Source organism: Homo sapiens, chromosome 3 (genome assembly GCF_000001405.40).
Source record: "Homo sapiens chromosome 3, GRCh38.p14 Primary Assembly".
Lineage (NCBI taxonomy): Eukaryota > Metazoa > Chordata > Mammalia > Primates > Hominidae > Homo > Homo sapiens.
In genome coordinates, this window is record NC_000003.12 from 154,254,384 (window position 1) to 154,281,718 (window position 27,335).

Here is a 27,335-nt window from a genome sequence, read left to right on the forward strand (position 1 = left end):
GCACATCAGCAACTCTTTCATGTCTCAGTTTCCCTAATGCAGAGTGGCTGTTTTCTGTTCCATTGTGTGACATGACTAATGACTCCTGATCAACCTGTTATTGAGGGGAATCATGCATCATAAAAGGCCTCTCAAATCTGAGCTTCTAAAATTCTAAAGCTTATAGCCAAGCAAGGGAGTTGCTAGAAAAGATGTTCTGCTTTTTATTAGAAGCCCAACTTGTTTCTCTCAATGCTGGCCCTGAATTGCAGAGAAAAATAAGTAAGTGTACATTATTGGATTGCACATGTTTTTTCTCTGCTACTGGAAACTTAGTATGTCCTCTTTTGGCCTCAGCACTGACCCAGGTGGAAATCGTTAGGTCATTTACTGCTAAGCAGCCAGATGAACTCTCCCTGCAGGTGGCTGACGTCGTCCTCATCTATCAACGTGTCAGCGATGGTGAGTGGGAGCGTTCTTATGGGACACTCGTGGTCCAGGATGCAGAGTGCTATAGACCCGAGGAGTGTCATTTTGTCATCATTGCCCATATTCCAAATCTTGACATGTTAATGTTTGAGATCACATATATGTACTGTCTTCTCATCTCTAAGGCTAAACCATGACGTTTTCTTTTTTCCCCAGTCCCTCAGTGACCCAGTTCTTATCTCTAAATATTCGTCCTTTCAAAAATAGCATTCTTCCTGCTATCCTTTACCCAAAGCATCTCCTTTCCCAGCTCAGCCCAGGTTCAAATACTCTCAGCCTTCTCACTTCAGGGCCTCTGCTCACGTTCTTTCCCTGCCATGTCATTCATTCCCCCTCGAAAGCTTTCCCTGTCCCACTTTCTCTTCTCACCGTAGCACTTAGCCTGGGGAGGGATGCTGCCTCTCAGCTTTTTCATATCCTTGGAGCCTGGCACACTCCAAATACTTGTTGTTTGGTGTGGACTCTGTTCTTTTTCACAGGCTGGTATGAGGGGGAACGACTACGAGATGGAGAAAGAGGCTGGTTTCCTATGGAATGTGCCAAGGAGATAACATGTCAAGCTACAATTGATAAGAATGTGGAGAGAATGGGACGCTTGCTAGGACTGGAGACCAACGTGTAGTCTCTCAGATGGTCTTTTGTTACTGCAAGATTTGCACGACACTTACCGGGCTGGTTGGTTCTGGGCTAGTTTTATTGTTAATTTTGTCACAGCCTATTTAATTAAAAGAACGAAAACACTTGCCTTTAAGCTTGCCAGGTTGTTCTGCTCTCTCATGAGAAGAGCTTGGATACAGTGAGTTTGCACAGCTCAGTTTTTACCTAACCACACACTTGCAGACCTCCTGAGGTACACAGAATAGCTGAGCAGTTCACTTCAGGGATCAGGTCATCTCTGCTCCTCCTAGTTTCACCATGTTCTGGCAATAAAAAACACATATTATATCCTGGTTTTCTCTATCCTTGCATTACTAAGGTGACTGTCTCTCTTTATACATCCTTGTATGGTTCTCCCAGTATTAGCAAGATTGTATATCTGTAAAGAATGTCCAGTTTTGTAAATATTTCCCTGCCTTTTTTTTTCTTTTTTTACATCTGATTTTAATGCTTCGTTAACTTCAAAAGGAACTGGTAGAGTTCAGAAGGTGAGCTGTTGTTTTTCTAAACCTCTTCCCAGGAAGGGGACATTGACACTTGAATTTTTGTCACCTTTTTCCTCATTAGAAGGAAAGTAGAAAGCCTTACTTTAGGATTTTTAAAAAAAAATCCATCTCACCCCATATTGTTCTTAAATAAGTATAGACTAATTAACCTAAGCTACCTTTAACAACGTAGAATTTAGATGGGTTCATATATGTGAGAAAAACCTGAATATAGGACAGGGGTCCTACTTTTTTCCCCACCTCTGTCGCCCAGGCTAGAGTATAGTGGTGTGATCTTGGCCCACTGCAACCTCTGCTTCCTAGGTTCAAGTGATTCTCCTGCCTCAGCCTCCCAAGTAGCTGGGATTGTAAGAGTATGCCACCACGCCCAGCTACTTTTTGTATTTTTAGTAGAGACAGGGTTTCATCATGTTGGCCAGGATGGTCTCTTAACTCCTGCCCTCAAGTGATCCACCAGAGAGGAGATCCTCGGCCTCCCCAAGTGCTGGGATTATAGGCATGAGCCACCGTGCCCAGCCTACTTTCTAATTAATTAAAAAAAAAAAAAAAAAAAAAAAAAAACCTTCCCAAATGAGCTGATAAAAAACTGACGTGAGGCTGCTTTGCCTTCAATAATACCTAGTTTTCAGCTGTTCCAACTCGTTTCCAAATAGAAATTAGCTGGAACACACTACAGTAATCTCAAGGAAGGGAAAATTAGGCCTTAAAAGATACCAAGAAGTCAGCATGGTACCCAATTGAAACCTTTTGACCTTAGTGGGAATTCATTCTATTTGCACTAAAAGCCTTAACTTGCTGTATTCAGAGTCCCTCTTAACTGTGAGTTTCTATAGAACTTTACTTTTTCCACTAGTGCACAGAGAGAGAAAGGTTATCTTAATAGTCGGTTTCATGGAGATGAAGGATGGGAGATTAAGAGGGGGGAAATGATTTTTACTGGCAGCTATATTCCCTCTCTGTTCTATTTGCTTTAACAAAGGGATAAAACCTGGCAAAGTGTACATTATTGGAGGACTCAAATCTGTATGTGACATGTCCCAACTACTGTCCGCTAACTAGTTATCCAAATTGTAAAGCTACAGAAGCCCAGTTGAGGGGTAAGTGTGCCTGGCTCACACAGCCTGCACCCTGTCACCTCGGCAATGAGCCAGTGTGGGGCACTGGGGACTTCTAACCCTTGGATTGCTCTTTTTGACCTGTGCATACCTTCTAATTGTAAAATATATTTCAGACCGTGAGTACCTTGAGATCTGAGCAACTGTGTTAATGAAGTAATAGCAATGGTCCACAGTGAAAGATGTGTTGGGGTTTGCAAAACAAGCATTCCGTCACCTCTTTAATAATGTCACAGACTTTTTAAAAGAGAGGCTATCAAGTTGTAATATAATCTGTCATGTTTTATTTAGGAAGGAAGGTAAATTTGTGCTTGCACGGGGATCATTTTGTATTATTTTTGCTAATACCCAGTTGAAGCTAAAAAGCAACTATTTGAATCCTGTGAATTAATTTATAAGAATGTTAAACAGCTTTGGAAATACATGCATCTTATGAATCATAGCCTTATTTAGCAAGATCAATGTTAAAGTGTTGTTATATGGCAAGTATTTAACACATTCACAGTGTTTGTTTGATTTCAACTGTGAATTGTCTTAAGTTTTTTCAAACCTAGTTGTTTCTATGGACACCTGCTCTGAATTGTACATTGACTTCATTACTAAAGAACAAAAATGTTCATTTTTGTCCCAGTAAATTGAGACTGCTTGTACACTTTCAGAAAAATATGTGAATTTATAAAGATTTTGTAGATACTTGTCCTTTTGTGCTGGTGTGATTTATTTTACTCTAGGTTGTTTTCAGTTAAGTATACAGTTTCCTGGGTTTTTGGCCAAATCAGAGCTCTATTTAAAAGGTATCTGTAGCTAACATTTCAGAGGACTAATCTTTTCTCTTTGGGTACATGCTGGCATCAGCTGCCCTAGAAGACTAGAACATTTTTAGGAGATGGGTCATGCTGTTTCTTCTCGTAGTTGGCATAAACCTGCAGGACTAAATCGCTTATCTTACATAGTGCACAGTTCCCTTATCCCCTGGAGCATATTCTACCATTCATTTGGTCACCTCGTATCTGAACCCTTGTGTTTGTGAAATTTTACCACCTTGTGAACCTTGGTAGAAGTAAAAAAATGACTTCCTTGACATTAGTTTTTTTTTTGCTGCATAACAAATTGCCACACACTTAGTGGCATAAAACAATACCCATTTAATATCTCACAGTTCTGTAGTCAGAAGTCTAGAATAGCATGGGTGGGTTCTCTGCTTAGAGTTTCACAAGGCTCTAAGTGTTGGCTGGCTGCTTTCTTACCTGGAGCTTGGTGTCTTCTTTCAAGCTCATTTCTGTTATTGGCAGGATTCACGTCCTTGCTGTTGCTGAGCTGAGGTCCTTGTTTGCTTGCTGGCTGTGAGCTGGGGGCTGCTCACAGCTTCTAGAGGCCCTTCATATCCTCGCCACAGGCTCCTTCCATCTTCAAAGCAGCAATGGCATGTTAACTCCTTTTCTCACTTGGAATCTGTTTGACTCCCTCCTAGGCTACCAGCGGGAGAAAACTCTGCTTTTAAATAACTTCTTACATAATTAGGTTAGACTCATGAGATAAGTCCCTTATGACACTAACTCAAAATCAAATGATTTGGGACCTTAATTACATCTGCTAAATTCCTTTGCCATGCAATATAAAATAATTATGGATGTAGTATCAGGGAGGGATATTGGGGGACATCTTAGATTTCTGCCTATAACACCTTCTATAAAACCTTAAGATGTTTGAGGCTTAGAGTTTCCAGCATCTCTTGCAGCTAAGATACACCTAGCTATGTGATAGGAAACAGCAATCAGCTACCTCTATCTTAGAATACACCACTCAAAGCCTTCTTTCCTGGATTTTCACTCAAGCTAGTGATGGAAGAGGAAAGAGGTAAGGAATACCATCCCTGGAAGTAGCAGGATGCATCCTCCTATTTGCTCCATCCCCTATCTGAAATCGCTGATGCATTTTTCCTAGGCTTTGGCAAGTACCAGAGAGGCAGAGCTACTTGGTGGACTTGCAGTGCTAAAAAATAATCCAGGTCAGTGTTTAGTACCATTAATAACACTTCTCATGGATTTGGTCCCTAAAGGGCTTATTCTCCTGTGGGAGTATGAATCTGAAAGATCTAAAGGTTTGCTTTCTGAGTTTTCAGTATATTAAAGTCCTGGAAGAAGAAAACACATCCTGTCTCTGAAAGAAACCAGCATCATCAGAACTAAGACTTCTGTTACTTCTAAAAGCAAATTGTCAAAGTTTCAGTAAACACTAAGACATGGCATTGTGATCCAGAAAAAAACAAACACAGGGACTCTGTATACTAGAATCATTAGGTATAGACATTAAAGTACTTACCATTGCTGTTGATGGAGATAAAGCCATAACGGAACTACACAGCTGTGTAGTAGAAGAAAAAAACCTAGAAATTATGGAACCGCGTTTAATGCCAGATTAGGTAAGAGTTAAAAGAGATATTGGGGAACGGGAAGAGAGGCTAGAAGATTCTACCCATAAGGAAGCATGGAGAGAGGAGACCTGGAGAATGTAGGGATTTAACTGGAATCCCAGAGGAGAGTGGAGAGAGAAAGCAGCATTGGCAAGGGGCTGGACCTTTATAACCCTGCTCTGACCAGATATGAGAGGCAGGCTATCCCCAGGAAAAGAGAGTGGTCTTGGATAAGGTGGCTCCCTTCAGCTCAGGACAATTCCCATAGAGGGTTGATGGGTGAAGGCTGTCATCCAGTTGCATTCCCAGCACCTAAAGCAAAAAGTCCTTCAGTCCTGATGGGGGGTCAGGGCAGAACATCACAACGTTCACTAAATGGAGCTCTATCAATGTTACATAAAGTGGTCTTTAGGGTAAAAGGTATCACTAGGGATAAAGTGGGTGCCTACATAGTGATGAACGTTTCATCTAATCAGGAAGATGGAGTAACTTAAATATATATTCTAGCAATAACCTAGCATATTTAACTATATGGCCTCAACTAAATAAAGTTGGCAGAAATATAAGAAAAAATAATTAAAATCATAGCATGAGACTTCAACACATCTCTCAGTATTTGATAGGAAGAATAGATACAATCAGGAAAAGAATAGAAAATTTTAATGAAATAGTTTAACATAATGGGAATATATAGGACACTCTGCAAACAATTTCAGCATATACATACTTTTCAAGCACATAAAATATTTACAACATTTGGCTATTCCCTGGGCCATAAGGCAAATTCCAACAAATTTTAAAGAACTGAAGTTATGCAGAGTGAGTTCTTTGATGGCAACATAAGTAGGTCAGAAAACAAAAATTAAGAATTATCAATTTATTTGGAAAGTTAGGCCTTTCCAAATGCAAAATTATAAAATTCCTTGAAGATGACATAGGAGACAATCTAGGTGACCTCGGGTTTGGTAATGACTTTTTATCTACAACATAAAAAGTATGGTCCATGAAGAAAAAAAATTGGTAAGTTGAACTTTTACAGTAAAAACCTCAGTTCTGTGAAAGACACTGTTAGAATAAAAAGCCACAGACAGGAAATATTTGCAAAACAAAGGATTGGCAATCAAAAACATACAGAAAACTTAAAACTCAACAGAAAAACAACCCAGTGTTCAAATTCAGGGGTGGCGGGGGGGGAACTAGGCAACTCACCAAAGATAACACAATTAGTAAATAAACATATGAAAAGATATCTAAGATCATACATGAGGGATGAATTTAAAGGAGATGCCACTATATTCATTAGAATAGCTGAAGTCTAAGACCCTGAAAATACCAAATACTGATGAGGATGTGGAGCAGCAGGAACTCTTACTCACTGCTGATGGAAATGCAAAAACAACTTGGGAAGACAGTTGGGCAGTTTCTTAGAGAAATACACACCTACCATATGATCCAACAATTACACTCCTTGGTATTTATCCAAATGAGTTGAAAATATGCCCACAGGAAAACCTGCACATAAATGTGTATAGCAGCTTTACTCATAATTGTCAAAACTTGAAAGCAACTAAGATGTCCTTCAATAGATGAATGGATAAACTGTTACATCTATACAATGGGATATTAATGAGCAATAAAAAAAAGTTATCAAGCCATAAAAAGACATGAAGTAACCTTAAATGCACATTGCCAGGTGAAAGAAGCCAATCTGAAAAGCCTACACACTTTATGACTCCAAATAAATGACATTCTGGAAAGGCAAACCACATAGAGTGGTTGCCTGGGACTCAGGGGTAGGGAGGGAAGAATAGGTAGAGCACAGAGGATTTTTTAGGGCAGTGAAAGTGTTCTCTGATACGGTGATAGTGGATACATATACATGTGTCAAAATGTACAACACAAAGAGTGAACCCTATGTAAACTACGGACTTTAATAATGAAGTATCAAAATTAGCTCATTAATTATAACAAATATAATCCATAATACAAGATGTTAATTTAAAAAAACTGGTGGGAGGGGGTAAAGGGGATTATGGGACCTCTGTACCTTTTGCTCAATTTTTCTGTAAACCTAAAACTGCTCTAAAAAGTGAAGTATTAATTTTTAAAAAAGAATTGCTGAAGAAAGTTTTTCAAAGTAAGGAAATAACAGAATGAAACTTGGAAGATGAGGAATGAAGAACAGAATGGGTAAACATTTGGGTAAATATAATAGGCTATCCTTGAGTTTTAAAAATGTGAGATGGCTGAAAGCAAAATTATATTATCTGACATGGTTGTCAATGTATGTAAAGGAATTATTTAAGAAAATAAATTATAAAGCAGTAAGCTAAATACCTAAGTGGCTGTAAAGTTCTTACATTTCACTAGAAGTGTCAAACTGTTGATACTAGTCAACTGATGTTATATATGTATACTGTAATCCACTGAGCAACAAAAAATGTATACGAAGTGATATATTTAAAAACACAATAGACAAGGCAAAACAGAACAGTAAAAAATAAGAAAAAAATCAGGTACCCACAGGAAGGCAGGAAAAGGGAAACAGGAAAGAAAAAAATATATAAAGAAAGCAAAAATAGAACAGCAGACTTCACTCCTAACATGAATGAATATATAAAATTTGAGTGTCTAAATTGTAATTAGAAGACAGATTCACAGAAACTTTAAAAATTACCGGACCATATGCTATCCATTCAAAACACATTTCAAATACAATAAATATAGGTAGGTTTAGAATAAATGAAGGGAAAAACATGTCAAGCAAATACCAATCCAAAAAAAAAAAAAAAAAGCTGAAATGGCTATACTAATATCAGACAAAGCCTTCAGAGCAAAGGGAATTATCAGGCACAGAGGGGGACAATATATAACGATACAAGGGTCAGTATGCCAAGAAGACATAAAAATCTTAAATATGTATGCAGCAAGTAATACAGCTTTAAAATACATGAAGTACAAACTAGGACAGAATACATGAACTAGAATATATGAAGTACAAAACAGAACTAAAAGGAAAACATAGACAAATGACAATATAGTGTTAAGAGTATAGAACAGGATTTCGAAGATGGCCGAATAGGAACAGCTCCAATCTACAGCTCCCAGCGTGAGCGACACAGACGGGTGATTTCTGCATTTCCAACTGAGGTACCGGGTTCATCTCACTGGGACTTGTTGGACAGTGGGTGCAGCCCACAGAGTGTGAGGGGAAGCAGGGCGGGGCATCGCTGCACTGGGGAATCACAAGGGGTTGGGGAATTCCATTTCCTAGCGAAGGGAAGCCATGACAGACAGTATCTGGAAAATCGGAACACTCCCACCCTAATACTGCACCTTTCCAATGGTTTTAGCAAATGGCACACCAGGAGATTATATCCCATGCCTAGCTCAGAGGGTCCCAAGCCCATGGAGCCTTGCTCACTGCTAGCACAGCAGTCCAAGATCAAACTGCGAGGCGGTGGCGAAGCTGGGGAGGGGCGTCTGCCATTCCTGAGGCTTGACTAGGTAAACAAAGCGGCCAGGAAGCTTGAACTGGGTGGAGCCCACCACAGCTCAAAGAGGTCTGCCTGCCTCTGTAGACTTCACCTCTGGGGACAGGGAATAGCTAAACAAAAGGCAGCAGAAACTTCTGCAGACTTAAACATCCTTGTCTGACAGCTTTGAAGAGAATAGTGGTTCTCCCAGCACTGAGTTTGATATCTGAGAACAGACAGACTGCCTCCTCAGGTGGGTCCCTGACCCCTGAGTAGCCTAACTGGGAGACACCTCCTAGTAGGGGCCTACTGACACCTCATACAGGTGGGTGCCCCCCTGAGACAAAGCTTCCAGAGGAAGGATCAGGCAGCAACATTTGCTGTTCTGCGGCCTCTGCTGGTGATACCCAGGCAAACAGGGTCTGCAGTGGACGTCCAGCAAACTCCAACAGACCTGCAGCTGAGAGTCCTGTTAGAAGGAAAACTAACGAAGAGAAAGAAATAGCATCAACATCAACAAAAATGACATCCACACCAAAACCCCACCTGTAGGTTACCATCATCAAAGACCAAAGGTAGATAAAACCACAAAGGGGGAGAAATCAGAGCAGAAAAGCTGAAAACTCTAAAAACCAGAGCACCTCTTCTCCTCCAAAGGATTGCAGCTCCTCGCTAGCAACAGAACAAAGCTGGACAAAGAGTGACTTTGATGAGTTGAGAGAAGTAGGCTTCAGAAAGTCGGTAATAACAAACTTTCCCGAGCTAAAGGAAGATGTTCGAACCCATCGCAAGGAAGCTAAAAACCTTGAAAAGGATTAGACGAATGGCTAACTAGAATAAACAGTGCAGAGAGGTTCTTAAATGACCTGAAGGAGCTGAAAACCATGGCACGAGAACTACGTGACACATGCACAAGCTTCAGTAGCCGATTCGATTGAGTGGAAGAAAGGGTATCAGTGATTGACGATCAAAAGAATGAAATAAAGCAAGAAGAGAAGTTGAGAAAAAAAGAGTAAAAAGAAACAAACAAAACCTCCAAGAAATATCAGACTATGTGAAAAGACCAAATCTATGTTTGATTGGTGTACCTCAAAGTGACGGGGAGAATGGAACCAAGTTGGAAAACACTGCAGGATATTATCCAGGAGAACTTCCCCAACCTAGCAAGGCAGGCCAACATTCAAATATAGGAAACACACAGATGCCACAAAGATACTCCTCGAGAAGAGCAACCCTGAGACACATAATTCTCACATTGACCAAGGTTGAAATGAAGGAAAAAAAAATCTTAAAGAGCAGCCAGAGAGAAAGGTCAGGTTACCATAAAGGGAAGCACATCAGACTAACAGCAGATCTCTCAGCAGAAACTCTACAAGCCAGAAGAGAGTGGGTGCCAATATTCAACATTCTTAAAGAAAAGAATTTTCAACCCAGAAATTCATATCCAGCCAAACTAAGCTTCATAAGTGAAGGAGAAATAAAATCCTTTACAGCAAGCAAATGCTGAGAGATTTGTCACACCAGGCCTGCCTTACAAGAGCTCCTGAAGGAAGCACTAAACGTAGAAAGGAACAACTGGTAGCAGCCACTGCAAAAACATGCCAAATTGTAAAGACCATTGATGCTAGGAATAAACTGCATCAACTAACGAGCAAAATAACCAGTTAACATCATAATGACAGGATCAAATTCACACATAACAATATTAACCTTAAATGTAAATGGGCTAAATGCCCCAATTAAAAGAAAAAGACTGGCAAATTGGATAAAGAGTCAAGACCCATCAGTGTGCTGTATTCAGGAGACCCATCTCACCTGCAGAAACACACATAGGCTCAAAATAAAGGGATGGAGGAAGATCTACCAAGCAAATGGAAAATAAAAAAAAAGCAGGGGTTGCAATCATAGTCTCTGATAAAACAAACTTTAAACCAACAAAGATCAAAAGAGACAAAGAAGGCCATTACATAATGGTAAAGGTATCAATGCGACAAGAAGAGCTAACTCTCCTAAATATATATGCACCCAGTACAGGAGCACCCAGATTCATAACGCAAATCCTTAGAGACCTACAAAGAGACTTAGACTCCCACACAGTAATAATGGGAGACTTTAACACCACACTGTCAACATTAGACAGATCAAGGAGACAGAGTGTTAAAAAGGATATCCAGGAATTGAACTCAGCTCTGCACCAAGCAGACCTAATAGACATCTACAGAACTCTCCACCCCAAATCAACAAAATACACATTCTTCTCAGCACCACATCACACTTATTCCAAAATTGACCACATACTTGGAAGTAAAGCACTCCTCAGCAAATGTAAAAGAACAGAAATTATAACAAACTGTCTCTCAGACCACAGTGCAATCAAATTAGAACTCAGGATTAAGAAACTCACTCAAAACTGCACAACTACATGGAAACTGAACAACCTGCTTCTGAATGATTACTGGGTAAAAAACGAAATGAAGGCAGAAATAAAGATGTTCTTTGAAACCAATGAGAACAAAGACACAACATACCAGAATCTCTGGGACACATTTAAAGCAGTGGGTAGAAGGAAATTTATAGCACTAAATGCCCACAAGAGAAAGCAGGAAAGATCTAAAATTGACACCCTAACATCACAATTAAAAGAACTAGAGAAGCAAGAGCAAATACATTCAAAAGCTAGCAGAAGGCAAGAAATAATTAAGATCAGAGCAGAACTGAAGGATATACACAAAAAACCCTTCAAAAAAATCAATGAATCCAGGAGCTGGCTTTTTGAAAAGATCAACAAAATTGATAGACCGCTAGGAAGACTAATAAAGAAGAAAAGAGAGAAGAATCAAATAGGCACAATAAAAAATGACAAAGAGGATATCACCACTGATCCCACAGAAATACAAACTACCATCAGACAGTATTATAAACATCTCTACGCAAATAAGAAAATCTAGAAGAAATGGATAAATTCCTGGACACATACACCCTCCCAAGACCAAACCAGGAAGAAGTTGAATCCCTGAATAGACCAATAACAGGTTCTGAAATTGAGGCAATAATTAATAGCCTACCAACCAAAAAAAAGTCCAGGACCAGATGGATTCACAGCCGAATTCTACCAGAGGTACAAGGAGGAGCTGGTACCATTCCTTCTGAAACTATTCCAATCAATAGAAGAAGAGGGAACCCTCCCTAACTCATTTTATAAGGCCAGCATCATCCTGATACCAAAGCCTGGCAGAGACCCAAGAAAAAAAGAGAATTTTAGACCAGTATCCCTGATCAGTCGAGGCAAAAACCCTCAATAAAATACTGGCAAACCGAATCCAGCAGCACATCAAAAAGCTTATCCACCACGATCAAGTTGGCTTCATCCCTGGGATGCAAGGCTGGTTCAACATACGCACATCAATAAACATAATCCATCATAAAACAGAACCAAAGACAAAACCCACGATTATCTCAACAGATGCAGAAAAGGCCTTTGACAAAATTCAACAGCCCTTCATGCTAAAAATTCTCAATAAACTAGGTATTGATGGGACGTATCTCAAAATAATAAGAGCTATTTATGACAGACCCACAGCCAATATCATACTGAATGGGCAAAAACTAGAACCATTCCCTTTGAAAACTGGCACAAGACAGGGATGCCCTCTTTCACCACTCCTATTCAACATAGTGTTGGAAGTTCTGGCCAGGGAAATCAGGCAGGAGAAAGAAATAAAGGGTATTCAATTAGGAAAAGAGGAAGTCAAATTGTCCCTGTTTGCAGATGACATGATTGTATATCTAGAAATCCCCATCATCTCAGCCCAAAATCTCCTTAAGCTGATAAGCAACTTCAGCAAAGTCTCAGGATACAAAACCAATACGCAAAAATCACAGGCATTCTTATACACCAATAACAGAAAAGCAGAGAGCCAAATCATGAGTGAACTCCCATTCACAACTGCTTCAAAGAGAATAAGATACCTAGCAATCCAACTTACAAGGGATGTGAAGGACCTCTTCAAGGAGAACTACAAATGATTGCTCAAAGAAATAAAAGAGGACACAAACAGAATGAAAGAACATTCCATGCTCACGGGTAGGAAGAATCAATATGGTGAAAATGGCCATACTGTCCAAGGTAATTTATAGATTCAATGCCAACCCCATCAAGCTACCAAAGACTTTCTTCACAGAATTGGAAAAAAACTACTTTAAAGTTCATATGGAACCAAAAAAGAGCCTGCATTGCCAAGACAATCCTAAGCAAAAAGAACAAAGCTCGAGGCATCATGCTACCTGACTTCAAACTATACTACAAGGCTACAGTAACCAAAACAGCATGGTACTGGTACCAAAACAGAGATACAGACCAGTGTAACAGAACAGAGCCCTCAGAAATAATACTACATCCTACAACCATCTGATTTTTGACAAACCTGACAAAAACAAGAAATGGGGAAAGGATTCCCCATTTAATAAATGGTGCTGGGAAAACTAGCTAGCCATATGAAGAAAGCTGAAACTGGATTCCTTCCTTATGCCTTATACAAAAATTAATCCAAGATGGATTAAAGACTTAAATGTTAGACCTAAAACCATAAAAACCCTAGAAGAAAACCTAGGCAATACCATTCAGGACATAGGCATGGGCAAGGACTTCATGACTAAAACACCAAACCAAATGGCAACAAAAGCCAAAATTGACAAATGGGATCTAATTAAACTAAAGAGCTTCTGCACAGCAAAAGAAACTACCATCAGAGTGAACAGGCAACCTAAAGAATGGGAGAAAATTTTTGCAATCTACCCATGTGACAAAGGGCTAATATCCAGAATGTACAAAGAACTTAAAGAAATTTACAAGAAAAAATCAAACAACCCCATCAAAAAGTGGGCGAAGGATATGAACAAACACTTCTCAAAAGAAGACATTTATGTAACCAACAGACACATGAAAAAAAGGCTCATCATCACTGGCCATCTGAGAAATGCAAATCAAAACCACAATGAGATACCATCTCACACCAGTTAGAATGGCGATCATTAAAAAGTCAGGAAACAACAGGTGCTGGAGAGGATGTAGACAAATAGGAACACTTTTACACTGTTGGTGGGACTGTAAACTAGTTCAACCATTGTGGAAGACAGTGTGGCGATTCCTCAAGGATCTAGAACTAGAAATACCATTTGACCCAGCCATCCCATTACTGGGTATATACCCAAAGGATTATAAATCATGTTGCTATAAAGACACATGCACATGTATGTTTATTGTGGCACTATTCACAATACCAAAGACTTGGAACCAACCCAAATGTCCATCAATGATAGACTGGATTAAGACAATGTGGCACATATACACCATGGAATACTATGCAGCCATAAAAAAGGATGAGTTCCTGTCCTTTGTAGGGACATGGATGAAGCCAGAAAGCATCATTCTGAGCAAACTATCTCAAGGACAGAAAACCAAACACCGCATGTTCTCACTCATAAGTGGGAATTGAACAATAAGAACACCTGGACACAGGGTGGGGAACATCACACACGGTGGCCTGTCGCAGGGTGGGGGAAGAGAGGAGGGATAGCATTAGAAGAAATACCTAATGTAAATGATGAGTTAATGGATGCAGCACACCAACATGGCACATGTATACATACGAAACAAACCTGTACGTTGTGCACATGTATCCTAGAACTTAAAAAAAAAGAAAAAAAGAGTATAGAACAGAACACCAACACATGGGATATAATTGACATTTACAGTGTACTATCCAATAACATAAGATTATCCATTTTTTAAATATAGCTAAGGGATATTCACCAAGATAACCATATTCTGAGTCATACAACAAACTGACCAATTTACAAGGACTGAAATCATACAAAGTATTTTCTCTGACCATAATGGAATCAAGCTAAAAATTAATAATGGACAAGAAAATCTCCAAACACTAGGAACTTATAACAGCACACTCACAACTAATCTATTTATTAAAGAGAAAAATATATAAAGAGGGAAATAAAAAATACATTGGCTAAATGACATGAAAATACAAAATATCAACATACATAGGATGCAGCTAAAGCACTGCTTAGAGAATTTATAGCACAAAAAACTTGTATTAGAAAAGAAATCTAATCTTTCACCTCAAGAAATGAGACAAAATAAACTCAAAAGAGCAGTAAGAACTAAATAAGGTTAAGTGTAGAAATCAATAAAATTGAAAACAGAATACGTGAGAAAAATCAATGAAAAATGAATATATCATTAAAGATCCCACATTACAGACATTAAAAAAATAATAAAGGGGCGTTACAAAAAACTCAAAAATTTTTTACTGCTTCCCAGGCTTCTGATCAATACAAAAAATCTTTACATACATAAATTCAACAACTTAGAGAAAATGAACCAATAAAAACCACAAACTACCAAGACATTGAGTAATCTCATAATTACTAAATAAACTCACAATTTAAAATAATTTCTGAAAAAAAATCTCCAAGTGCAAATGGTTTCGTTGGAAAATTCTACAACCATTTAAAGAATTAATGGCAATTATGCATAATGTCTTCCAGAAAACGTAAGAGGAAGACAACAGCTTCCAACATATTTTATGAGGCCAGCATTACATTATTAAAACAAAAGCTACTATAGATTTGTATCTTTCCTGAATAGAGAGACAAAAATCTTCAGCAAGACACTGCCGAATCCTATCCAGCAATATATTTAAAAAATTACACACTGAGACCAAGCGGGGTTTATTAAAGAAATGCAAGGATTACTCAATATTTAAAAATCAATTGATGTGACTGCTATGGTTTGAATGTGTCCCATAAATTTCATGCATTGGAAACTTAATCCCCAAATTCATATGTTGATTGGAGGTGGGCCCTCTGTGAGGTAATTTTAAGCTTAGCTAAGTTAATCAGGGTGAAGCCTCCATGATGGGACTGGTGGCTTTATAAGAGACTTGAGATGACACACACTCTTGCCCTCTAGCCATGTGATGTCCCCATTTGTGACACAGCAAGAAGGCCTTCACCAGATGCTGATACCTTGGTCTTGGACTTAAGAACTGTAAGAAAAAAATGTGTTTTCTTTATAAATTACCCAGTCTTTGATATTCTGTTACAGCAACAGAAAATGACTAAGACAGCAATCTACAATATTAACAAGCTAAAGAAAAAAACATATGGTTACTGTGCCAATTGATGCAAAAAAGAATATTTCGAAAAAATAAGAAACTATGGCTAAAAGTCATCTTCAATATTGTTTTATGCCATTTTTTATTTTGTCATTATTAATGTGTATCTGTCAAAAGGAGTTTTTTGAGACAGGGTCTTGCTCTGCTGCCCAGACTGGAGTGCAGTGGCTCACTGCAGCCCTGACCTCCCAGGCTTAAGCAATCCTTCCATCTCAGCCTCCTGAGTAGCTGAGACTACAGGCACATGCCACCATGCCTGGCTCATTTTTGTAATTTTTGTAAAGACAGGGTTTCACCATGTTGCCCAGGCTGGTCTTGAATTCATGGGCTCAAATGATCCACCCACCTTGGCCTTCCAAACGGCTGGGATTACAGGAATGAGCCACCACACCTGGCTAAAAGGACGTTTTATTTAAGTTTGTTAAACTAATTTAAAATTTTAAAATATTTAGAGATCTAGTATGTTGGCTTCCATTTATATTCTTACTTCAGACACCACAAAAACGTTAGAGATAGGTCTGTTTTGCCTTTGCTTGAATAAACAAGAAAAAAATTGGCTTCCAGAACAAGTAAAAATAATCAAACTCTCTCATTTAACAGGAGAAACAGCCATTAAGAGAAAAGTGAGGTGAATGGAAGCTATGGGAAAGATTAAGTATTGAAATATTTAAAAGGGCCTAAAAGATAAAAGTCACCAAGGAATCACTTTTTCATTAAATTAAAGCTTTGCTAAAGTTAATTTTATTCCCAACCATGATGTTCACTGTGTAAAGGTAACATAATATACTACATAAGGACTCAGAAATAGAAAAATACAACTCAAAAATTTATACCAGACCATTAAGATATGAATCAAATTTAAGAACCAGAAAAAAAAAGGTAGTCACAATTTAAAAGTTCTCTATCATCCACAGTAGATCGCCTCTACAGTGCTTCCATATCAGCTGTTTTCCTTATCTCCAATGACTTTCCCAATACTAATAAATATTTTTTCTTATGTCCCATTCTTCACCTCATGATGAATACACCTCTTGCCTTCATAACTATATAAAACTGGTGCTAGTCTCTCCTGGCACTTAATAACACTGGCTTAACTCTTTACACTTTACCAACCAAGTCAAGAGTAACACATCTGGCCATTATAAATCTCAAGGAATGTAAATAACAACTTTTTGTATCTCTAAAATTAATTAGTAATCTTCCTTCTCCGTAGTCAGATATATCCTTAAAACTCCAATCATTTGACATGAGATGAAAAATCAAAACCCAAACAGAAATACATAAGATAACTAAGGAAAAAGCAAACAACATGAAAAGATGCTCATCATTAATCATTTTAGAAACAAAAATTAAACCATAATGGGACAGGACTCCTCATCCACTAAAGGCTAAAATTAAAACGACAGCTAAAAATACCAAGTACTGGCAAGGATGTGGAATACTCTGACCCCCCCAACACACATTGCTGTTGGGAATGTAAAATTTCAGCAAATTCTGAAAACAGTTTAGCAGTTTCTTATACAAACACACTTACTATAATACAACAACCTTAATCTTAGGTATTTACCCAAGACAAATGAAAACATATAACCACACAAAGACTTATATACATATGTTCATAGCAGCTTTATTCATAACAGCAAAAAAACTGAAAACAACTCAAATGTCCATCAACTGGTAAATGAATTAACAAACTGTGGTATAACTATACAATGCAAATACTACTGAATAGAAGATAAAACAGGAACTACCTACTAATACATGTAACAATATCAGTATCTCAAAAGTATTACATTAAGTGAAAGAAGCTGGACACAAAAGACTGGTTATTTGAAATTCTAGAAAAGGCAAAACGAAAAGTGACAAAACGCAGATCAATGGGTTTCGAGGGGATAGAAGTGGGGGTGAGGGATTGACTACAAAGGGGTAAAAGGGAAATTTTTAGGTGATACAAATGTTCTATATCAGCTGGGTGTGGTGGTTCACGCCTGTAATCCCAGCACTTTGGGAGGCCGAGGCAGGTGGATCATGAGGTCAGGAGTTCGAGACCAGCCTGGCCAACATGGTGAAACCCCATCTCTACTAAAAATACAAAAGTTAGCCGGGCATGGCGGCGCGTGCCTGTAATCCCAGCTACTCAGGAGGCTGAGGCCAGAGAATTGCTTGAACCCGGGCAGACGAAGGTTGCAGTGAGCCGAGATTGCGCCATTGCATTCCAGCCTGGGTGACAGTGCGAAACTCCATCTCTGGGGAAAAAAAAGTTCTGTATCAAGATTGTGGTGGTGGTAATTACACTACTATATGTTTGACAAAATTCACTGAATCATATACTTAAATTGGTTAATTTTATTGTATATAATATCTTAAAATTTATTATATATAAAATAATACCTAAAGTTTATATATATCAAAATGGAACAATGGTAACATGATTTACTTTGCTACATTTCCAAATATTGTCCAGGGAGGATGTATTATTTTAAAATCAGAACAAAAATCCCATTTAAAAGCAATTAGCATATTAAAAATATATAAGTATACATGATCACAATGACTTATAAATAAATACAAACTCAGAGCTAAGAACAGAAGGAAATTTACCACTATTTATTTTGGGTAAAGGAGTACTAAAATTCCTCCTAAAGCTTTTGTATAATTCATAACTTTTAGGGGAGGACTTTGTTTTAAAAATGCAGTAATAGAGAATGCCTTGCAACAATTGGTGTAAGTTTATCTAGAGCTTTTGCCCAAATTAATTAATTGGGAAGGCATCACATGTGCTCACTGTTCAACGATGCTTTTGAAAGATTATTCAGTAGTTTAATTTCTTTTGTTTTTTTCCTGAAAGTTTCTGTTTCAGGTTTTTTTTTTAAGAGTTATTCTCTGCATTACTCAAAATGATGAATCAAACAGATTTTCCTTCTTAATTTAATGTCTTATTCTTTAAAATCCACTAAAGAACAAACAGTTCTTAGACCTGGAATGTATTTTCTACTCAGTAATGCCCTATTTTGTAAACAAAAGAAACAGAATGTAAGTAGCACCTTGGATTAAAATGTCCAACCTAATCAGCTGTGCAGAAGACATAAATTGGAGGTAACAATAACTGCTTTAATCTCTGTGAATGCCTCATCAATTAAATAATTCCTCAGGAACATTTTCCCCATTCATATGGGAATTACATACTGGTTTGCAAACACAGAACCAACTAATAATCTTTTTTACAGAATCTCTAAATCCTTTCTTCCAAGACCATTTTGGCCAACTGACTGGATTTAAACTGGATAATAAAAGTAAGGGAAAAAAAAGCACAAACAGAAACTCTTACAGAGCAAGAAAGACCAGATGGTCACCTCGACGTTAGAGGCAAAACCAGTATGCTCTAATATTGTGACATGACTCTAATGCCAGCATTCAATGACAGACAGATCACTTTTAGAAGAACAGCCAAGATAAAGGATTTGAGACATAACAGGTAACACACATTCCCAGGATTGGGAGCAGTACCTGAACAAGTGCTGTTAATGGATCACTGTAGCATTATCAATACATCCCAGTCATTGTATGATACTATTAACTCTTTCGGTTTCCTTGCATTTATTGGAAGGCACATTAAAATTTGCATTCTTTGGAGTGCAGCAAGATGCTTTTCCTGTTTCTTTCTGCAGCATGTCCAGCACTTTTACACCTTCTGTCAGACAAATAGGTTAAAACTCTTACATTGCAAAATCAAGAGTATAATACTCAGTGATGGATAGTGTATGTTTCTGATTAATACCCTTTTTGCCAAGTTAAAAATACCCTACTAGGGACCGGGTGCAGTGGCTCATACCTGTAATGTCAGCACTTTGGGAAGCCAAGGCGGGCAGACTGCTTGAGCACAGGAGTTTTGAGACCAGCCTGGGCAACATGGTGAAACGGTGTCTCTACAAAAAATACAGAAATTAGCTGGGTGTGGTGATGCATGCCTATAGTCCCAGCTATTTGGGAGGCTGAGGCAGAAGGATCACTTGAACCCAGGAAGTCGAGGCTGCAGTGAACCAAGATCACACCACTGCACTCCAGCCTGGGTGACAGGGCAAGACACTGTCTCCAAAAAACAAAAAACAAAACAAAACAAAACAAAAAACCAACAAAAAACTAACAATATCCTATTAAAAGTGGCTTAAACAATTGAAGGGTTTTTATTATATCAACATAAGTCCACATGTAAAGCAGCTCTAGAATGGGTTAATTCTGAAGCTTACCGGCATTATCAAAGGCTCTGGTGAGTTCTATCTTTCCACTGAGCTAACCTCAGTCTGAGTCCGTGTCTCCTTGTGATCATTAGTTGGCTGCAGCAGTTCCAACTATCAGAGTCAGAAAAGACAATGTCCAGAGAGAGCAGGATTTCCTCCTCTAAGCCTATTAGTGAGTAAAACATTTTTCAGACACCCCCTTGAAGATCACTTCTCAGCTGCCATTCACTAGGACATGTTTATGTACTCATGCCTTATCAATTACTTATAAGGGGGATAAGACCACATGTGATTCATTTAGAACAGCAGGATTCACCCTTAGGGAAAGGGTCCAACATACCTGGACACAGAGCTGCACAGAAGGGAACACCAGAATAAGCAAGCAAGAAGGGAGGGACAAAATAGTTGCTGGCCGGCAACCAACAGTATTTATCACAATCTGATAGGGCTGAAAATGTACAGCATGTGTTGTTACACTATTCCTTGGCGAAGAAGATAAGTAGCAATAAAATAAAAAGTGTAATATAATAGATTGTTAGACATTTACGAAAATATTTCAGGGACAAATAACAACTAAGATTCAGAGAGTACAGGCACTAGCCTATGTGCTTTACATGTATTAATGTACTTCATCCTCACAACTGTTACATGTACAGTTGTCCCTCAGTATCTGTGGGGGACTGGTTTCCAACCCCAACCCCTCAAATACCTAAATCCATGGATGCTCAAGTCTTTTATAATAAAATGGCGTAGTATTTGCATGTTACCTAGGCACAACCTCCCATATTCTTTAAGTCATCTCTAGATTATTTATAATACCTAATACAATGTAAATACTATATAAATAGCTGTTAAACTGTATTGTTTAGGGAATGACAAGGAAAAAAGTCTGCACATGTTCAGTATAGACACAACCATCCTTTTTTTCCCCAAATATCTTCTATCCACAGTTGTTTGAATCCACAGATGTGGAATGCATGGATATGAAGGGCCAACTGTATCTTACAAGATAAGGAAAAAGGAGAGAAGCCAAGACACTGACTAACTGACAGAGCTGAGACTGGAACTGAGGTAATCAGGCTCCAGACCGTGCTCTCAATTGCTGTATTATGAGGCACAGGGTGATATAAAAAGGGCACGTGTTTTAAAAATAGTAAAAATATCAAATGAACCAAGCCATAGGTGAAAATGTAGAAACCAATCCAAGAGGTTGGCTGAGATTTAACATTGTACATTTTATTAAATACTGGACTTTATTACAACAAATTAATTTACTTCCGATAGAAGTTTCATTTTAAAAAATGTGGTTGTGTTCAAATTCTTAATTGACACTTGTTTTGGGGTAAACATCCTATTTTTACTGGTGGTATCATCAATCATTATGAGCAGAAAGATTAATTTTGTATAACAGAACAAAGGAATTTCTCAAGTGGTACAATACTCAATATATATAAAGGGAATATACTCCCAAAGAGTGGGCATGACCACAGCAGAGTATATGATCAGAGAACATATTGCTTTTATGGTATATATATATATATATATATATCTCTACATATAACATCAAGTCATGCACATTAAGTCTTTACTACCTACTGAAGGCTTCTACCTTACACATGAAAATTGTTCATGTCCCAGGGTTTGGCATCCAGCCAAAATTTAAACAATGATGAAGAATGGCTGTCAAACTGGCTTTTCAGACCACCCCTGAAAAGCTGTCAGCTGTAATATCCATCCTGGAATCGTGGCGGAAAGTTCCTGGGAGTTGCCTTTTCCTGTGTTTTGATCAAGTCTATAATAGCTGACAGTACTGCACAGTCTCTGGATTTAGTGTCATTCCAGTCTACAGGATGAGGACTTTCAATCTTCTCTTGCAGAAGAATATCTAGTTCCTTTCTTAATTCCTAAGGTTGGAAAAATTATACATGTTCAACAAAGGCAGATATATTACCAAATAACATAATAAATGAAACTAATTTACCTGATACAAGGAGTTTCACAAGCGATGGCTCAAAAGCTAAAACATTTAGTGAGCAATCAACTAAAGTGTGGTTATGAGTGAATAACTAAAGTGCAGTTAAAATTCACACTGCAATCACACTGAGCCATTTAGAATGGCTGGTCTGTTACCACCTCAAAACACAATTCAGAAAAACCAGGAATCATTTTTTCAAAATTATTTGCTCTGCTGAAATAGAGCAAGAAATGTTAATCTATTTAACAGTTAGAACAAAACCACATGACCACATGCTGACTTACATGTAGATTTAAGATAATCACATAAAGTCAGTCACCTTAACAAGATGGGCAATTCTTGCTGGAGACTGAAATACAATCCACTCATCTACAGCAATAGTTTCCTGATCGTTATCCTTCTGGATGGAAATGTCACCTCCAAAAAACAAGAGACAGTATGGGGAAACCTCTGTGCAGTCATACAAGTATATCTGTAATGAAAATTAAAGTGAATTAATACATTCAGGAGTCTGAAAAGATTACTATATAAATTCAACAATATTACCAGTATTAATTAATGAGTATCTTCCTTCTAAAATATTAACCTTCTATTGTAATTACAGAGATTTGTAAGAAATACCATTTTAAATGAGCCATCTTCATTATTCAGAGAACATAGGTATTTTAATATTTTTTAGTTTAAACTAAGCACTACTCTGAACAAAATATTTTCTGAGTGACAAAAGCAAAACACTAATGTTGCCGAAGTTATTTTTATCCAGTTTTTTATAAATCATCTCAAATTACTGTTCTAAAGAGAAAAATATAAATAAACAGAATCTCAACATGCTGAACAATACTTATAAGGTATACTGACATGCTAACAAAACTTTCTATACAATGTAAACTCCTGTACACCATAAAATATGCCAATATTTCTTGAAAGCAAGTTCTGAAAGAAAATTATGCAATCAAATAACTGTCCTAACTAATTAAAATACAAAGATCCATCATTACAGACCTGAAAATTAAAAGAATAGGTTATTTGTTAGAGGGAAAAAGTTACTCACGTCACAGGAATAAGACACAACAAAAAAAAAATTTTGTATATAATTGTTAAAACTACACAATCATAAAAATACAATGAGACTGATAATCAGATCCTTAATTATTTTAAATGTTCACTTACACTGCTTGTTCTCATCTTTAGGTGATAGATAAGCCAGTTGTAGTGAAAGTCTGTTTGCTCCACATTAACAGATTTAGGATGAACAGCAACCAGGCCATCGGTTTTTGTGTAAACTTTTACCCTTTAAAAAAAGTTAAAATGCAGTTTGTTAAAAAGAAGTCTTCTAGAGGATTTTCTTTTTTTACACTACTTGAAAAACTGATAGAAGAGCTTGGTAAAAACCAAACAAATCCCGGAATCTAAAAAAATTCCAGAGAATAATTCAGTTTATTTTTGCAAAAAAATATATTTATATTTGAGGACAGAGCATAATTTCCTTAAAAATATATGAAAAAATGCTATCAGTATGAATAATTTAAATCATGTAACTAATCTTCTTCTTGCAGGTATAATTACTCAACATTTTAGAAAAATGGCAGAATATTCTTTTCCTTAATGTTAATGCACACTATACCACTGAAGAATAAATAACAAAAAAGTACCTAAAATAATTAAGTGATTCATACCAAGAGTTTATACATTTTACTATGACAATCATAATACTGATAAACAGCCCTTGATTTACAAAATAACTGTAAAATTATCAACTTAAAAATTTTACAGAGTATGACCCAGATGAATAAAAAATGAAAAGTTAAGAATTCTGTTTAAATTCATGTTGACAGTTCTAATTCAATCTCTCAATTCCTAGGTCATTTTTTTTTTGATAGTCATACACATTTTATCTCAATTTGTAAAAGTCTTTAGTATTATTCAACAGGGAGATGTTTAATAATTTATTTTTAAATAGTTAATGTTAATTACCTGTATTAACTAACAGCATAAAAGCTAATAATCCACTAATCTTTCCTATTTGTTTTTACGAGTGTCTCTTTCGAAGTTTTTTTTTTTTTTTTTGAGACGGAGTCTTGCTCTGTCACCCAGACTGGAGTGCAGTGGCCCAATCTCAGCTCACTGCAGCCTCCGCCTCCCGGGTTCCGGCGATTCTCCTGCCTCAGCCTCCTGGGTAGCTGGGATTACAGGCATGTGCCACCACCATACCCAATTAGTTTTTGTATTCTTAGTAGAGATGGGGTTTCACCACGATGGCCAGGCTGGTCTCAAACTTCTGACCTCAGGTGGTCCGCCTACCTTGGCCTCCCAAAGTGCCAGGATTACAGGTGTGAGCCACCACACCCGGCCACTTCTGAAGTTCTAAGAATTCATAAGACTTGTAATCAAAATCATGAATCATGGTTATGAATTTACAGTTTTAAATACTTAGAATAAAACCAGAAATTATTTTTTCTCACTTCAAGTCAATTTACCAATGCCATCCTGCCACCCTGCATAACTAGAGCAGTAGAACTTCACAAATTTCTTTTTTCTTTTTTTTGAGACAGGGTCTCGTTCTGTCACCCAGGCTGGACTGCAGTAGCATGATCTCTCAACGTGCAGTGGTGTGATCTTGACTCACTGCAACCTCCACCTCCTGGGCTCAAGTAATCTAACAGCCTCAGCCAACCAAAGTGCTAGGATTACAGGTGTGAGCCACTGTGCCTGGCCCAGCAAATTTCTATACAGGACCAGAGAGTAAATATTTTAGGGTCTATATTTGGGGCTCTATAATTTCTGTCCAACTCTGCTAGTGTAGAAGGAAAGCAGAATAGACAACATGAAAACAACATGTTTGTGTTCCAACAAAAAAAGGACAAAAACAAGTTTTTGGCCTATAGGTCAAAATTTGCTGACCCCTAGTCTGGACCAAAACAATGCACCAGTCCAAAGAAAACTACATTTTTTCAGAAAGCCCTCCCAGGATGGCAGAGAGGAAAATAAAATGAATTTCAAAGTGACTCACTGTTAAGCTACCTGTAAAGTTAGGTACACACATACAAAAAAATTTCTGGCCAAGTATTATTTTGAAAAAGTACTTAGGTCACTTAAAATGTGAATAATCCAACCACAATGATTAAAATTCATCAGCTACCCATTACTTTATACCTTGGAATAGGGTTTCTTGACTTTAGTACTACTGACACACTGTTATGACAACCACAAGTATCTCCAGACACTTTCCAATGTCCCCTTTGGGGGCAAAATCATGCCAGTTGAGAACCACTGCCCAAGAACAATGTCTGCACTTTGGCCTATCTTTAAAGTCTTTATTTTTTCATGTTTATAATTCTAGAATATCCAACTTTCATTTAACATCAGTTTAAATACTTTACATGTTACTACACAATGACTGTTTTAATGCCCACCTATGGAGATGCATTACAGTATTATAAAACCACAATTTTCCCATGGCTACTAGAAATCTATATTATTTACAATATAGCTGTTAGAAAACATTTGAAATTACTTCCTTAAGACACATCTATCAAATTAAAAACTCATGCACTGGGTCACTGACTATTTTAATGATTCAATCATAATTCTAATACAGAGTGTCTTCCAAAATAGCAGCAACCACACTACTGGCCATTTGTGACTCTTAGTTTCTCTGTATCCTTTAGCTAGAATGAGCTCATTCTAGCTCATGCTTCACTGTTGTCTCCAATTACTACTGAGGCTACCTGTAAATATATTATTACACTTTATTTCTCAAAATAGTGAAATCACAATGTTATTCAAAGAGCTAAGTTATCCATTTATAAGGCAAGAGGAAAAAAGTTTCTGAAATAAAATCTACTCTAAGCAATTTTTATCCAGCCACTGGTATTTACTAGCAGGCTGGCTCTTCTAATATTTACACTGGTATCATGTGGTAGCATTCTTTGTGAATAATGGGTTATCAAAGAGGTGATTCCAGGATGTGTTGTGAGGGAAAGTGATACCAATGGCTAAACAGTTCACCTTCTCTGAAATGATTAAAAGAACAAGAATATAACCCACATATGAATAAGAACAAATTTATAATATAAGCCTTGTTACATGAGCAGATTTCAAAAGTTTAAGAAGAGAATTACGAGTAATTAATAATAATCTTCAATGCTTACATTTTTCTTTTTTTACCCAAATTTAGTCGAATTTTAGCAACTTTGGGATATAAACCAGCACAGATGACAGCTTTAATTATCTTCTCATTATCTATGGGGGGTGAGAAGGTAGAGGGGAAAAGAAAAGTAAAATACTGATACAATAGACAAAAGATACTTATTTACACTGTGTTTCCTGCTGTACCTGAATTTATATTAGATTCTGGATCTTTAGGATTTCTACTGCTTACAAATCCAGCTCCAAGAAGATGCTCAGCAAACTGTCCTTTCATGTTATGCAGCATCTAGGGAGCAATGGTAACAAATAGAACTAGAATACCTTTCACACATTGAGGCTATAAACCATACACTAATAGATAAATTGAGTTGTAAGCTATCCCTGCTTTATGAAAACACTTTAGCAAACATGTTTTAAAGCAAGGGTTGGCAAACTACAAAAGCTGTTTTTGTCAATAACATTTTATTGGAACACAGCCACACCCATTCATCTACATTTGGTTGTTTTTGCACTACAATGGCAGAGGTCAATGCTTGTAACTGAGATCTTATGGCCTGTAAGCCTAAAATATTACCCGACTTTTCACAGAAAAAGTTTGCATGTTGTAAGGAATAGCCACTGATGTTTAAGGATTACTCTATTTTGTGAAAGACTAATAGAATTTTTAAAATTACTTTCCACCCCCATTTTTTAAAAAATATAGAAAAGCATAAAGAAAATAATCCACATCCATATTTCTATTACTGAGAATTAAATATGGTTAAAAATGGCAGGTAAGCTTAAGGTTTTGTTTTTTTTTTAAATAATGATACATGGCTTATTACAAAGCATTCAAGTAACATAGAAAAGTACTTCCCTTGCCTCAATACTCAGTCTTCTAAATAAATAAGATTGCAGACACCCATTAAGTATATATACTGATAGAAGAAATGCATCCTAATAACAGAATCATAGTATAGAAATTCTTTATAAAACAATTAACTTTAGTACAATTTAAAGAAAAGTTAAATAGAAAGGAAAGTGAATGACCAGATGAATCTTGTATTTTCATAACAGAAATATTTCCTAAGGAATTCCTTTTAGAGATTATGAAACATAAAGTTGGTTATATTTAAGTATATATCCCTTTTATGAAAGGTGTG

At 37.3% G+C, this 27,335-nt stretch overlaps 2 protein-coding genes across 7 annotated transcripts in view; one reads left to right on the forward strand and one right to left on the reverse strand.

Annotated features, from left to right (window-relative positions):
• Positions 1–3,442, forward strand: part of ARHGEF26 (Rho guanine nucleotide exchange factor 26) — a 136,823-nt gene extending 133,381 nt beyond the window's left edge. For 3 of the 5 annotated variants that reach the window (NM_001251962.2, NM_015595.4, XM_011512672.2), the window contains 2 exons: positions 337–441; positions 948–3,442. In NM_001251962.2, the coding sequence (NP_001238891.1) occupies positions 337–441; positions 948–1,090 (248 nt within the window). In that variant the 3' untranslated portion in view covers positions 1,091–3,442. The remainder of the gene's footprint in view (positions 1–336; positions 442–947) is intronic. The other 2 variants (NM_001251963.2, XM_047447954.1) reach the window with 1 other exon arrangement.
• DHX36 (DEAH-box helicase 36) overlaps positions 18,163–27,335 on the reverse strand; it is a 51,942-nt gene continuing 42,769 nt past the window's right edge. For both annotated transcript variants that reach the window (NM_001114397.2, NM_020865.3), the window contains exons 21-25: positions 26,380–26,479; positions 26,196–26,286; positions 23,215–23,335; positions 22,364–22,516; positions 18,163–21,973 (exon numbers count right to left, since the gene is read on the reverse strand). In NM_001114397.2, coding sequence (NP_001107869.1) covers positions 21,788–21,973; positions 22,364–22,516; positions 23,215–23,335; positions 26,196–26,286; positions 26,380–26,479 — 651 coding nt within the window. In that variant the 3' untranslated portion in view covers positions 18,163–21,787. The remainder of the gene's footprint in view (positions 21,974–22,363; positions 22,517–23,214; positions 23,336–26,195; positions 26,287–26,379; positions 26,480–27,335) is intronic.